Here is a 16,946-nt window from a genome sequence, read left to right on the forward strand (position 1 = left end):
AAAGGGCTAATATCCAGAATCTACAAAGAACTTAAACAAATTTACAAGAAAAAAATCAAACAACCCCATCAAAAAGTGGGTGAAGGATATAAACAGACACTTCTCAAAAGAAGACATTTATGCAGCCAACAGACACATGAAAAAATGCTCATCATCACTGGCCGTCAGAGAAATGCAAATCAAAACCACAATGAGATACCATCTCACACCAGTTAGAATGGCGATCATTAAAAGGTCAGGAAACAACAGGTGCTAGAGAGGATGTGGAGAAATAGGAACACTTTTACACTGTTGGTGGGACTGTAAACTACTTCAACCATTGTGGAAGACAGTGTGGCAATTCCTCAAGGATCTAGAACTAGAAATACCATTTGACCCAGCCATCCCATTACTGGGTATATACCCAAAGGATTATAAATCATGCTGCTATAAAGACACATGCACACGTATGTTTATTGTGGCACTATTCACAATAGCAAAGACTTGGAACCAATCCAAATGTCCAACAATGATAGACTGGATTAAGAAAATGTGGCACATATACACCATGGAATACTATGCATCCATAAAAAAGGATGAGTTCATGTCCTTTGTAGGGACATGAATGAAGCTGGAAACTATCATTCTGAGCAAACTATCGCAAGGACAGAAAACCAAACACTGCATGTTCTCACTCATAGATGGGAATTGAACAATGAGAACACTTGGACACAGGATGGGGAACGTCACACACCCGGGCCTGTCTTGGGGTGGGGGAGGGGGGAGAGATAGCATTAGGAGATATAACTAATGTAAATGACTAGTTAATGGGTGCAGCACACCAACATGGCACATGTATACATATGTAACAAAGCTGCATGTTGTGCACATGTACCCTAGAACTTAAAGTATAATAATAAAAAAAGGTTTTTTTAATTTTTAAAAAAAGAAAAGGTGCAGTTGAAGTAAACTGTTAATAAGGTCACTCTCTATTCCATTTCCTGGGAAAGAGGTGAATTTCTGGGTGAATGCTTAAATAACACCCAAGGTTAATTGCAGGACGGGATGATGGTGAAAATACATTAAAGACAAATATCCTGTGTTGTGCATACTCTCACTGTAGCGATACACCCAGCCCCATATGGCCATGGGCCTTACAATGCAATGAATGCCCACCCTACTTCCAACCCAGTAGCTGCATCTTTTTGCCTGAGGGCTTTCTGCTAGAAAATCTAAGCCCCCAGGGAGCAACCCTCCATCAAAGACTGGCAGGATTTAGTGTGTAAATGTCCCAGAGCCTATGCTAGGATACCTCTGAGGCATACGCCACACTGTCACGGAGAGTTCCCCAGCTCGTTGAAGGGCCAGTGTCCCACACTGTCATTGGCTTGATAATGCATCCAGTATTGGATTTCCTTCCTCTCTTCCCTATTTCACTTCCCCACTCTTTACTACTGTTTTCTAGGATTACCTCTCAAACAAACTACTGGGGCCACTCCACCCCTTCTCCACCCAAAGCCTGCATCCAGGGAAGATGGACTAAGACCATCTACTCTTTCACTGAAACTTTGCTCATCCAGGGCCTGATCATTTGTGCACCCCGGTCTCCTAAAGGGACCAGGCCTGTGCTGAGATACAGTGACTGTATACTCCAGCCAGTGTTCCTCCTGCATGGGAACTTAGGGCAGGGCATTGGTTACATCATTTAATGAGTAGTCATACCCAACTGAGGCTCCATTCAATTCTAAAGCCCTTAGTCAATTATCTGTAGGGGCCTGGGAACTGAGTGGAGAATGTGTGTCTGATGGGTTTTTTTAAGTTTTATTAGAGAAATTTTCAAGCATACACAAAATTAGAGTTCATTACAGCAGAATGCACTCTTAGGTTCTCATCACCCAGCTTTAACAGTTATCGACATATAACTAATTCCTTTTTATCTATGTCCCCCATTTCCTTTTGTTGGATTATTTTAAAGTAAATTTAAGACATCACATTATTTAATTTGTAAATATTTCAATAGATATCTCCAAAAACTAAGGTCTCCTGAAAATAACAATATAAGAGCATTTATTAAAACACACTACTAATCATCCTTAATAGTGAAAGACTGAAAAATTTTCCCATAAAATCAGGAACAAGACAAAGATGTCTGCTCTTGCCACTTCTATTCAACATTGTATTGGAGGTTGTAGCCAGGGCAATTAGGCAAGAGAAAGAGAAAAAAGTCATCCAGATTGAGAAATAAGTAAAATTATCTCTATTTGTAGATGGCATGATCTTGTACATAGAAAATTCTAAGGAATTTACCCAAAAAAATGAATGGAATTAATAAATGAATACAACAAGGTTTCAGGATACAAGATCAATATTAAAAGATCAATTATATTTCTCTACACTGAACAATGAACAATGTCAACATGAAATTTTAGAAGAAAATTCCATTTACGATAGCATAAAAATAATAAAATGTTCAGGAATGAATTTAGCAGAAGGAGGGAAAGACTTGAACACCAAAAACTATAAAATATTGCAAAAAAATTAAAGAAGACCTAAATAAATGGAAAAATAATTCCGTTTCTAATCCGTGTTTATGGACTGGAAAACTTATTATTGCTTAAGTGGAAATACTCTCCAAAACAGTCTATAAATTCGATGCAAATCTTATCAAGATCTCAGCTTCCTTTTTTACAGAAATAGAAAAACTCATCCTAAAATGCATGTGGAAATGCAAGGATCTAGAGTAGCCAAAATTATCTTTAACAATAAGAACAAAGTTGGAACACTCATACTTCCCATTTTCAAAACTTATCACAAAGGGATAGCTACGAAAATAGTGTGTTATTAGTGTGAAGACAGACATATTGGTCAATGAAATAGAATTGAGTGTCTGGAGATAACCCCGTACATCTATGGTCCATTGATTTTTGACAAGGATGCCAAGATATTCAATGGGGAAAGACTTGTCTTTTCAACAAATGGTGCAGGGATAGCTGGATATCTACACGAAAAAGAAAGAAGTTGGACCTGTATCTTACATCATATACAAAAATTAACTCAACATGAATCACAGACTCATATGTAAGAGCTAAAATTATAAAACTCTTAGAAAATAAATAGGAGTAAATCTTTATGACCTTCAGTTGGGCAAACGTTCTTAGATCAGACCCCAAAAGCACAAAAAACCAAAGCAAAGCTAGATATATATATATATATTTTTTTTTTTTTAGATGGAGACACGCTCTGTCACCCAGGCTGGAATGCAATGGCACGATCTCCACTCACTGCAACCTCCTTCTCCCGGGCTCAAGTGATTCTCATGCCTTAGCTTCCTGGGTAGGTAAGACTACAGGTGTGTGCAACCATGCCTGGCTAATTTTTACATTTTTAGTAGAAACAGGGTTTTGCTATATTGGCCAGACTGGTCTCAAACTCTCAGCTTTCAATGATCCACCTACCTCAGCCTCCCAAACTGCTAGGATTACAGGCATGGGCCACCACGCCTGGTCAAAAAGCTAGATAAATTGAACTTCATAAGCATGAAAAACTTGTGTCTTTTAAAAGACACTATCAAGAAAGAGAGAAGACAATGGAATGGGAGAAACTATTTGCAAATCAAGTATCTGATTAGAGTCTTGTATTCAGAATATATAAAGAACTTTTACAACTCCACAATATAAAGAAAAATAACCCAATCTTAAAATAGGCCAAAGATTTGAATAGACTATTCTCTTAAAAAGAGGTATAAATGACCATGAGTACATGCAAAAGTGTTCAATATCTTAGTCATTGAGAAAATGCATATCAAATATGAGATATTACTTTATACCCACTGGACAGTTATAATCAAAAAGACAGTAACAACCCTTGGTGAAGATGTTGAGAAATTGGAGCCCTCATATATTGCTGGAGGGAGTAAAAAGTGGTGCAGCTGCTGTGGAAAACAGCTTGGAAGTTTCTTACAAGGTTAAACATAGAGTTACTATTTCACTCAGAAATTCCTCCTGAGAACATACCTAAGAGAAGGACAAACAAATGTCCACCCAAAAACTAGTGTATGGATGTTCAGAGCAGCATTACTCATAATAGTCAAGAGGTGAAAACAATCCAAATGTCCAGCAACCTATGATCGGATTAAGAAGGTGGTATATCCATTCAGTGGAATATTATTTGGCAATAAAGAATAAAGTGCTGACCGGGCACCGCAGCTCATGCCTGTAATCCCAGCACTTTGGGAGACCGAGGCAGGTGGATCATGAGGTCAGGAGTCTGAGACCAGCCCAGCCAACATGGTGAAACCCTGTCTCTACTGAAAATACAAAAAAAAATAGCCAGGAGTGGTGATGCATGCCTGTAATTCCAGCTACTCAGGAGGCTGAGGCAGGAGAATCACTTGAACCTGGGTGGCAGAGGTTGCAGTGAGCCGAGATTGTACCACTGCACCCCAGCCTGAGTGACAGAGCAAGACTCCATCTCGAAAAAAAAAAAAGGAATGAAGTGCTGACACACTACCAGGTGGATGAACCTTGAAAACATTATGGTAAATGAAAGAAGCAAGTCACAAAAGACCACATCTTAAATAATTCCATTTATTGAAATGTCCATAATAAACAAATCTATAGAGAGATAAAGTAGATCAGTGGCTGCCTAGGGTTGAAGACTGGGGAGAAATGAACTGATAAGGGGGTATGGGGTTTCTTTTGCAGGTAATAAAAATGTCCCAAAATTAGATTGTAGTGATTGTTACACAATTGTGTGAATATACTAAAAATAATTAAATGCTACACTTCAAATCAAGCTTGTCCAACCCACAGCCTGCAGGCCACATGCAGCCCAGGATGGCTTTGAATTCAGCCTAACATTCTTAAACTTTCTTAAAACATTGTGAGATTTTTTGAGATTTTTTTTTAGCTCATCAACTATCGTTAATGTATTTTATATATGGCCAAAGACAATTCTTCTTCTTCCTATGTGGCCCAGAGAAGCCAAAAGATTGGACACCCCTGCTTTAAATAGATGAATCATATGGTATGTGAATTATATATCAATAAAGCTGTTATTAAAAGTGGAGGGGGACTAGGCACAGTGGCTCAAACCTGTAATCTCAGCATTTTGGGAGGCTGGTTGCTTGAGGCCAGGAGTTTGAGACCAACCTGGAACATAGCAGACCCCATCTCTACAAAATCTAAAATCTTAGCCAGGCATTGTGGCATGCATCAATAGTCCCAGCTACTTGGGAGGCTAAGGCAATAGAACTGCTTGAGCCCAGAAGGTTGAGGCTGAAGTGAGCCACGATTGTGCCACTGCACTCCAGCCTGGGCAACAAAGTGAGACCCCATCTCTAAAATAAATGAATAAGTAAAATGAAAGTGAAGGCACTTGGCTTTTTTGGGGGAAAGAGGTTCAAGGCATGAGAGGGGTTTGTTGCTAGCTTTGAAGACAGGGAGCCACGTGAAAAGGAACGGGGGCCGCCTCTAGCAGCAGAAGGCAGACCACCAGGAAACAGGAGGCTCAGTCCTACAAACACAAGGAACAGCCAACAGCCTCCATGGTCCTAGAAGCAGATTCTTCTCCAGAGCCTCCAGAGAGGAGCACAGCCCATTGATGCCTTGATTTCAGCCTCGCCAGACCCTGAGCAGAGAAGCCAGTCATGCCCCACCCTGACTTCTGACCTACAGCACTATGCATTAAGAAATGAGAGCCTTTGGAGGCTGCCAAGTGCACGGTAAGCTGTTATGCCACAATAGAAACAAATACAACTTCCTGTTTAAGGGAAGAAGGTTGTATTTGTTTCTGTTTTCTGTTTTCCTTCAACATGTACCTGCAAACCTGCAGACAAAGAGTTATTGCAGAGATGAAGCTGCTCAGCTCAGAAAAATGCAACTTTAGGCCATTTGCCACTTTGAAAAAATGTAAAAGGACACTACAGAGAAACAACATAAGAATTGATATAAATAAATAAATAAAGGTATAAAAAAAGAAAAAAGAGCCAGTCATGGCAGCACATGTCTATAATCCTAGCACTTTGGAAGGCTAAGGTGAGACAATTGCTTGAACCCAGGAGTTCAAGACCAGCCTGGGCAACATAGTGAGACCCCATCTCTACAAAAAAAAAATACAAAAATAAGCCAGTTGTGGTGGTGCATGCCTGTGGTCCCAGCTACTCGGAAGGCTGAGGCAGAAGAATCACTTGAGCCCAGGAGACAGAGGTTACAGTAAGCTGAGATCACACCACTGCACTCTAGCCTGGGCAACAGAGTAAGACCTTGTTTCAAGAAAAAGAAAAGAAGTTTTATAGTTCAGTGGTAAAGAACAAGGTAGCAAAATGAAATTTAAATATTTTATCAGCCAGTATAAGAATAAATCATTATATGATGAAAATCAAGTAGAAAATATTCTAAAGAGAAATGTTACAAACTAAGAGGTAATTTTTAAAACTTAAAAGGCACAAAAATTGACATTAAAAAAATGACAAGATAAAATATAAAAGAAATGATAAAAAATTTAAAGTAAAATCCTTCCCTTTAAAATATGGAAGAACAAGAGCTCAAGCTTCCTAATTCAAAAATAATTAGAAGTCAGGTGAAATAAGCAGTACCATATTATGAAAATTATTAAGTATCAAGAAAACAGTGCAAACATCCCAGAGTCAACCCAAGACTAAGGTCATGAAAACCTCGGATCCCAATAAGGTACAGGTAATGGATGTAGCTTTGAGGCAGGAGAGGAGACTACAGGCAGCCCCGGCCCTCAGCCTAGGGGACTTACCCAAGTGAGAGCCAAAGGACCCTGTGCCCCAGATGCCTGTCCCTTCCCCTTTCTGACAGATTCCTGCCTGCTAGTGCTGAATAATGTCCGGGAGAATGGGGAAGCATAGCTTTTGTCTGCAGCCACACTGGTCCCAGCAAGGCCCTCACCCCAGCCTCCACCGATAGCCCAGGGGTCTAATTCTACAGTCAGGGAGCCACACAGAGCCAGGGAATCTGCACACCTGTGCCCTGCACTGAGGGGTAGACTCTCAGCCCTGGGGAGGACCCTGGGTCCAGCCAGCATTTTGTGGCTGCCCTCACTCAGACTTCATCTCTGTTGAGGCATCGATCGAGTGCCATCTTTCCTACACACAGCCTGCCCTGGCATCAAAACTCTCCTGTAGGACTAGGACTCCAGTGGACACAAAATTCCCATTATACCACAACCTAACCCTGACCCCAAGGAGACTCAGACCATGCCCCCCACAATCACAGTGGGGGAGACCCGGAGACTTAACGTGACCCAGAACCCCCAAGTGAGCAGAATTTGGTTAGTGTCCCTGGTGAAAGACAGGACAATGCAAGTCCACAACTCCGTTCACTGTCATTGTCACTGGAGCAGTCTTTCTAAAAGAGCCTAAATCACACAAATCCCACACAAAAATGAGGATGCACGCTCATTCCCTCCCCTTCCAGTTGCTTGTGTCCAAAGCTGGCTCAGTGTCATTTGTGGGCTCATGGCACCTGCCCACCACCAAGCGGTGCTGCAGCGGCCCCTCCTTCTGGCTCTTGCGTGATTGTCCACGGCTTCCTCTTTGCAGTATCATCATAAGCTGTGGCCTACCCGGGGATATGGAGGAGCCATTCGGCAAGGTTTCTGAGGTCAGAGTCAGAGAGGGACTCAGCTTCTCCTGCAAACAAGCTTGGCTTCTTGCCCGGAGTTCATTAAACACCATCATGGACTGTTAGAGCACAGGCATTGCCCAGCTTTGCGGGTCTCCAGTTCTATGGCTCAGGGCCATACCCACTCGGTCCCACAACCCTGAGCCAAAGGAAGATAAAACTGTACTCCAGGGCAAAGCTGGGATAAAAGGCCCACTCTTCTCTTAGCTGCGGATTACACTTCCCATAGACACCCACATAGCGAGGGCTCAGCCGCTCTCAGAGGTGAGGCGAACACGGTCCAAGCCTTTGAGTGAGGCATTCCCAAGGAGAGGGGAGAAATTGGAACAAGAACAAAGAGAACATAAATATGGGAAATATCTACATTAAGGGATATACATTAAAAAAAAAAATACCCAGGCCCTGTGGCTCACCCCTGTAATCCCAACATTTCGGGTGGCTGAGATGGCACAATCGCTTGAGCCCAGGAGTTGGAGACCAACCTGGGCAACATGGTGAAATCCCGTCTCTATGAAAAATAAGCAAAATTAATCAGGCATGGTGGCACACACCTGTGGTCCCAGCTATTCAGGAGGCTGAGGTGGAAGGATCACTTGAACCCAGGAAGCTGCGGTTGAGCCAAGATTGTGCCACTGCACTCCAGCCTGGGCAACAGAGTGGGACCATGTCTCGAAAAAAAAAATAAATTTAAATTTAAAAAACTATATATATATAATTTAAAAACAACAAATGAAGGCATCCTTAGCTCAGCATCTGGCTGCCAACCTTCAAAAGTCAAATCACTTTTGTCTTCAGCTCTATCTCTGCAGTTGTTCCTAAGCATAGAAATCTGGGTCAAGGCCTCTCGGTGGATGGACGCCACTATATCACTATAATGTACAGAGACAGAGGTCACCTTATTGGGTGACAGGACTACATGAGCCTAGTGTAGCAGAGACACAGGATAGAGAGGAAAGACAATTTGGTGCATTAAATGAGGTTACCGTGCCCTCCAGTTAATGAAACCATGGTGACTGTAACAGTCAGAATCCTGGCAGGACACAGAGTCCTGCTCAGATGGTTCAAGAGCAAAATTAATGAAGTTCCCGTTTACAGAGCTGTGGGCAGAGTAAGCACAGCAAAGAAGCGCTGAGGTGCCCAGAGCCCAGCCACAGTGGGAGCCATTGCCACACACCTGAGTCAAAATGACAGGAGAGGAAATAGCCTAGGGGTGGTCATGGCCCAACAAGAGCCCAGCAAGAGTGGCAGCTGTGGAGAGGGGGCTGCCCAGGAGAACTGCAGACACGCAGGGATACAGCCATCACCAAAATAAGGCCTGGAAAGAAACATTCAGATATCTCTCCCTGCTTCAATAGTCAATCATTAGTGCCTCCCAAATACCCAAGCCAACAGGAAGCCAGCAGGCAGGGAGACGGAAGCTGTGGATCTGGGAGGGATCTCAGAGCAGAGGAGTGAGAAGGATGGCTGGGGCCAGGGAGGAGACAGAGAATACCACACGCAGTGATGACTAATAATTAAGAAAGTGCCGCCCAGGTGCGGTGGCTCATGCCTATAACCCCAGCACTTTGGGAGGCCAAGGCAGGAGGATTGCTTAAGGCCAGGAGTTCAAGACTAGCCTGGGCAAGATAGCAAGATACCATCTCTACTTAAAAAGAGAAAGAGAAAGAAAGAAAGAGCCATTCCTTTAGGACCAGGTTCCTCAACTGTGGCGCTCCGAACATTTGGGACCAGATAATTCTTTGTTGTGGGATCCTCCTGGGCATCATAGGATGTCTAGTGGCATCCGACAGGCCAGATGACAGCAGCAGCCCCCTAGTCCCAACATTAAAACTGTCTTCAGACATTGCTGATTGAACCCTGGGGGGCAAAATCATCCTAAGCCAAGAACCACTGCTGTAGGGTTATAGTAATAGACTGCAATGAGATAAGGTCAAGGCTTCTGATGCTACAACAATAAGAGAAAAAGACACCGAGAAGATCCATTCCCCACCTTCCTCAGTTATTGCATCTAAGAGAGGGGATAGTGGGATGTAAACTAAAGGTACTTCTGTTTCTTGCAAGATGCTTGACAAAATGAATGTGAAAATCCTTCTACTAAAAAGGCAGGAAAAAATAGAACTAAAATGAAAAACAACAATGCCTAGTTAGGTCAGGAACAATAGTGCTGGGTAAGGGATGGAGTGTGGTGGGTGGGGGCATGGAGACAAACCCAGCCACAGAGGACAAGCTTAGGTGAGTCTATGCAGGAGGTGAAATGGGAGAGTGGAGATCCACGCTTCGTCAGGGCTTTTCATGTGGAGCTAGAAAAAAAAATGTGCTGACCAGCCCAAGAAAAGAAGCAGGAAGCCTGTGACTCGCTAGAATCTGGGACAGGAGAAATGCCTCCCTTCAAAAATAAAACACCACCTTTGCCTCCTGCCGGTTTGGAGTTTGATTTCATAGTCACAGGAAACTCCAAGCTGTGAAGTTAATGGTTAAAAATAATAATAATGCAGGAGCAGTGACACACCTGAGGCACAAAAAAACCCCATGGATGCCTATGGCTGGGAGGTGGGGAAAATGGGGGAATATTGGTAAAATGGTCTATTTCAGTTAGATTAATACATTCTGGGCTGGGTGCAGTGGCTCACACCTGTAATTCCAGCACTTTGGGAGGCCAAGGCTGGTGGCACCTGAGGTCAGGAGTTCGAGACCAGCCTGGCCAACATGGTGAAACCCCGTCTCTACTAAAAATACAAAATTTTAGCCAGGCGTGGTGGTGCATGCCTGTAGTCCCAGCAGGAGAGTCACTTGAACCCAGGAGGCGGAGGTTGCAGTGAGTCGAGACCATGCCGTTGCACTCCAGCCTGGGCAACAAGAGTGAAATTCTATCTCAAAAAAATAACTAACTGAATAAATAAATTCTAGGGATCTAATTACAGCATGGTGTATTTGTCCATTCTCACGCTGCTATAAAGACATACCGGAAACTAGGTAATTCATGAAGGAAAGAGGTTTAATTGACTCACAGTTCCACATGGCTGGGGAGGCCTCAGGAAACTTACAATCATGGCAGAAGGTGAAGAAGCAAGGCACCTGCTTCACAATGTGGCAGGAAGGAGAAGTGTGTGGCAGGGGAAATGCCAGATGCTGATAAAACCATCAGATCTCATGAGAACTCACTCACTACCATAAGAACAGCATAGAGGAAACCACCCCCATGAACTAATCACCTCCCACCAGTTCCCTCCCTCAATATGTGAGCATTATGGGGATTACAATTCAAGATGAGATTTGGGTGGGGACACAGCCACACCATATCACATGGTGACTATAGTTAATGCACACCATTGAAATTAGCTAAAAGAATAGATCTTTTAGCAAGATCTACATACACACACAAAGGTAACTATGTGCAGTGATGGATGTGTTAACTAACTTGATTGTGGTCACCATTTCACAGTGTGTACACGTATCAAATCACTACATGGTACACCTTAAATATATACAATTTTGTCAATTATATTTCAGTAAAGCAGGAGGAAGAAAAACAGAAAACCTCATGAATTCCACAGGAAAAAAAGAAAAAAAAACAACAACACTTAACATGAGTTTGGGATCCAAAAACCATAAAGCAATCTTCCATAACAGACACTCAGCAATGAGCACTTCAATATCCCACATCAAACCACAGACACAATCAACAGTAAGAGGAGTCAAAATTACAAGAAAAGAACTAGACTCTGAAATAAACAAGGATAGGTCTGAAGCGAGAAATTAGCTTTCACTAACAATGTTATTAAACCTCCATAGAAGAGCTAAAAAGTAAATTAGAGGCCAGGCGCAGTGGCTTAGGCCTGTAATCCCAGCATTTTGGGAGGCTGAGGTGGGCAAATCACCTGAGGTCAGGAGTTCGAGACCAGCCTGGCTAATATGGTGAAACCCCGTCTCTACTAAAAATACAAAAAAAAAAAAAATGTAGCTAGGTGTCATGGTGCATACCTGTAATCCCAGCTACTAAAAAGGCTGAGGCAGGAGAATCGCTTGAACCCAGGAGGCGGAGGTTGCAGTGATCTGAGATCGCACCATTGCACTCTAGCCTGGGCAACAAGAGCGAAACTCTGTCACAAAAGAAAAAAAAAAGTGAATTAGATCCTGCAGCAGAGTTTCACATTGGAGCCAATTGTGAGGAGTCAAAGTTTAGTGGTAACTGATTTTATCCTAGAAATAGTATTACAGTAGGAAGATCTGTTCCCAGGAGATCAATGACAGCTATGCGAGAAATTAACCTAACATCAAATTGGGTGAACTGTGAATTGCATACCTGCCCTGCTCATGGTGTAAGGGTTTCTTCATAGGACTGTGGATCAGTTAATCCATGCAAGAGTAACTAATTGTATACAGTTGTATTTGATGTTCCAGTGAGGATTCCTCTACTAGATTGTTTCCTTACATTCCTGCTTCGCTTTTTTTCTGAAAACTGCCACACCTTTATAAGGGCCAGGCAGGTGGTAAGAGCTTTGTTTTCTTTAAATCCGTGTCACCTGACAGCTTCTGAGAAACTCACCCACCCATACTTATTCACTGTATTAATATTTACTGAGTATCCACCATCCACTCTTCTAGGTGCTTGGGATTAATCTATGGGGGAGGGGAGAACCTAGCCTTGAGCAGCTTGCATTTATGATAAGGTAATAATAATAAATAAGTAAACCACATTGTACATTGAAAGAAATAAGTGCCGTGGAGAAAAGAAATCCACGCCCCATGCCCTGTGGAATTTGCAGTAAAGGCAACAGCTGCCTACTCCTTCTTATTGTAAATTTCCCTGAAACAAGCGTACATTTTTCTGCTTTTCTTTTTGGGTTTCATGTCCTCAAAGCTATCAATGATACATTTTGTCATTTCTGATGTCAATAATCTAGGTATACAGCGATCTTTCTTGTTGCTGTTCAAATGACACGTATACAGATGGCCCTAGGTGGGCACTGCAGCCTTCCACAGCCTCCTAGGCAAAGCTATGGGGAAGAAGGCACTCTGTGGGCCTAGCCCGGCCATGTAGTCCTACTGTTCAGCCTTCCGCAACAATCACAGGCAGCCTCCAGGGATCAGCATAGCCAGAGAATTGATTAACCTCCCCAGTTGTTTCTGCACAGTGAGGGGGCCGCTGGGTCACCCACCAGAAAGCAAAACCCACAACTAGCTGCTTCCTGGGAAAACATAGGTGGCATCATGGGAAGCCAGAGAATGACATAGAGTTAGCCCAGGAGGCAATGGAGACTTAACAGAGATCACCAATATTTCTGAGCAAAATCCAGCCCCTCTCCCCTCTCTACCCCAGGAAACACCTGATCAGGAGGAAAGGTAGAGAAAGATGGAGATAGAGGTAAGAAAGCTGGAAAAGGCTAGGACACAGACTCCATCCTCCAGCCTCCATAAGGAACCAGCCCCATTGTAAGACCTATTTGCAGACCTCTGACCCAGCACTGAAAAAGGATAAATTTGTGTTGGTTAAGCTAAGTTTGCTGTAATTTCTTATAGGAAACCAACATCGTCTCTTTCTTTTTCTTTCCTTCTTTCTTTCTTTCAGACAGGCTCTCACTCTTGTCACCCAGGTAAATGCAGCGGCAAAATCACTACTCACTGCAGCCTCCACCTCCCGAGCTCAAGCAATCCTCCCACTTCAGCCTCCTGATTAGCTGGGACTTCAAGTGCATAGCACCACACCCACTTAATTTTTGTATGTTTTTGTAGAGACAGGGTGTGGCCATGTTGCCCAGGCTGGCTTTGAATTCCTGGGCTCAAGCGATCCTTCCGCTTAGGCCTCCCAAAGTGCTGGGATTATAGATGTGAGTCATTTTTGTATTGTTCCACCGCAAAGCTACTAGCTTGCGCACCTACATTCGCTCTGCAGATATTTGTTGCATGGGACACAGCCCTAGGAAAAAGACAACGAGCTCCCTGCCGTTGTTGAGTTTACAGTCCATTGGGGAGGACCCACCTAAAACATGATGTTTTCAGATGATTTCCTACATATCCTTTATACAAGAAGAGTAACCTCACGGTGACTACGGAGGGACTGCTCTTAGAGGGCAGTCAAGGAGGGCCTTTCTGAGGAGGTGGCACTTGAGATGAACCTGGAGGGATGAGAAAGAGCCACATATGAAATGACAGAGCAAACAGCAGGAGGGAGACGGGATCTCCAGGTATAGAAGGGGGACTGTATGGCTGGATGAAGGGCGAGTGCTGCTGCTTCAGGGAGGAGGTGGGCTTGGGAGCCAGTCACAGTGGCTGCAAAACCAATGGAGACAGGATGTCCCTGACATCTCAAATACACGGGATCCATGAGAAGTAGCAGGGATTGGCTCTGCGAAGGGCCTATGCTCCTCTCCCTTTTATATTTTGTATTGAATTACAACTCAAACCTGATTTTAAAATGCTAACCTTTGGTTTGGTTGATTCGTGGACGAATTAGCCATAACTGCAATGCAGGGCCGAGTTGTAGATAAATGGAGTTAAAGAGACACTTGGGAAAGGCATGAAAAGCAAACTCCTCTAGGGAGAAGGAAGCCAGGTGGCCTGATGGCTCCCTGCTGGCCAGTGCGGGGGCTGTGGGGGTGCTGCCTCCCCCTGAAGCCGTGGCATTTGCCTGTGTGTCCAGCCACAAAGTCCCTCTTCTGTACCTGGTCTTGCCTCCCTCCTGCTCTTTCCAACGCCTGGAACCCTTTTCCCCTTGCCATTTCAGACCTGGCTCCTTCTCATCCCTCCTGGTGGGCAGAGGAGGACGAAATCACAAAAGCCTTGAGAAGCCTGGGGAAAGGAGTCCTGCTAAGCAGGTGTGTTGTGAGTGTCAGAGGCGTGTGAACCAGAGCAACTCCATCTTGAACAGGAGCTGGGTAAAAGGAGGCTGAGACCTACTGGGCTGCATTCCCAGACGGTTAAGGCATTCTAAGTCACAGGATGGGATAGGAGGTTGACACAAGATACAGGTCATAAAGACCTTGCTGATAAAACAGGGTGCCATAAAGAAGCCGGCCAAATCCCACCAAAACCAAGATAGCGACAAGAGTGACCTCTTGCCATCCTCACTGCTACACTCCCGCCAGCGCCATGACAGTTTACAAATGCCATGGCAACAACAGGAAGTTACCCTATATGGTCTAAAAAGGGGAGGCGTGGATAATCTACTCCTTGTTTAGCATATCATCAATAAATAATCATACAAACCAGCAGCCCTCGGGGCTGCTCTGTCTACGGAGGAGCGATTTTTTCTTCCTCTACTTTCTTAATAAACTTGCTTTCACTTTATGGACTCGCCCTGAATTCTTTCTTGCATGAGATCCAAGAACCCTCTCTTGGGGTCTGGATCGGGACCCCTGTCCTGTAACATGAGGGCCAGAGAGATACGGCAGTGCCCGGTGGGGTCCACACAGTCAAGAAGACGGCCATGCAGGCCTGAAATCCAAGATTTAGTGCCTGGGACCTGGAAGAAGAGACCCCGTGGAAGAGGGGATGAAGACAGAGCCCAGGTGTGACCCCAGTGGCAAACACTTGGCTCCACCAAGTCACCCCTTCTCCAGAGAGTTATCTACGCACTCACTGTCTGAGGACAAGTAGGATATCCCAAGCATCACAAGTAGTTCTGTTTGGTTGATAATGATGAGTGTATTTTCTTATATACATCGAAGTAGCAAGCCTATGCAACAAACACCCACCCCACTTGACTATTTTGAACTTTATCTAGACTGCATTATAAATGAAAATTATGCTGCAAAAAGTCCACTTCCATAGTTCACTATATATGGAGAAACAAAATAAAAAAACAAAAAAATTATAAATCTAGGAATTTTGTCTAAGTGGTAGGCACTAAGATATTCATTACATTGGCCAGGCACAGTGGTTCACGCCTGTAATCCCAACACTTTGGGAAGCCAAGGCAGGGAGATCACCTGAGGTCAGGAGTTTGAGACCAGCCTGGCCAACATGGCAAAACCCCATGTCTATTAAAAATACAAAAATTAGCCAGATGCGCTGGTGCACGCCTGTAGTCCCAGCTACTCGGGAGGCTGAGGCACAAAAATCACTTGAACCCAGGAGCCAGGATTTTCAATGAGCCAAGATGGCGCCACTGCACTCCACCCTGGGCAACAGAGTAAGACTCTGTCTCAGGAAAAAAAAAAAAAAAGTTATTCATCATATCATTTTTATAGTGGCAAATAAATGGAAACACAAAATTCACAGATGGTAAAATAATTTGTAGAATATCTATGTGGTGGGCTACTAAGCAGCCATTAAAATTTACATTAAAAGAAAAATAATAATAGAATGTATTGGGCATTGCTTTGCAAACTGAAAGCACTTGGTTTCAGCTTCCCACAACAACTCTATGAGGTGTATGCTAGCATTATCTTTTTTCTTTTCAGAGGACGGAATAAGGCACAGAGATGTCAATTAACTCACCTAAGGACATATTGCTAGTAATTCTGAGAACCAGAATTCAAACCCAGTTGATTTGACTTACCAGCTTATCTTCTTCATCCTTGTATATACAGCGAATAAAAAAATTTGAGCAAGGCACAGTGGCTCAAGCCTGTAGTCTTAGCTGCTTGGGAGGCTGAGGCAGGAGGATTGCTTGAGCTCAGGAGTCCAAAGCTGCAGTGAGCTATGATTGCACCACTGGGTGACAAGAGCAAGACCCCTATCTCTTAAAAAAAATTTTGTAATGACATGGGGCAATGTTCATAATTTGTAGTTTAGTAAGAAAAGTAGGTAATAAACAGTATACTCTGCATAATCTTAAGTAAAAAAAAAAAACATATATACTATCTACGGTATCACAGCTAAAACATTTGGGGAGAGGTGATGATTTGGGAGCAGCAGCAGGATTTTATTTTTTATCCTGAAGTAATTCTTTTTTAACAATTTTTACACATTTGCAGCATAAATAAGTCCATGAGTCCATGCCTTATATTGTGCAATTTCATACACTTCTGAGAGTTCCATTCCTGACGGGTACAGTACCCCCAGGGTTGTGGGTAGGGGCTTGCTCTTCCCATAATTGGCACTTCCTTCATAATCTGCCTTTCTTTTCTGGAAAGCAGTCTGGAAGGACAGACATCAGCATTTTAAAGGAGGTTGGGAGGACTACAGTTCACTTTAATGTCCTCCTTATGCTGTCTTTATTCTTTACTGGCCCCATTTTTAAAAAACCATGAACATAACTTACATGTATTCAGAAAATGTGATAAAAGTTCCAAAAAGACAAGAGTGCACTATCGGTTGCCCACAAGTCCAAGCTCCCTCCCCAGCTCAGCCCCTGAGGTCTGACGTGGGGTCTGG

Source organism: Homo sapiens, chromosome 2, assembly GCF_000001405.40.
Source record: "Homo sapiens chromosome 2, GRCh38.p14 Primary Assembly".
Lineage (NCBI taxonomy): Eukaryota > Metazoa > Chordata > Mammalia > Primates > Hominidae > Homo > Homo sapiens.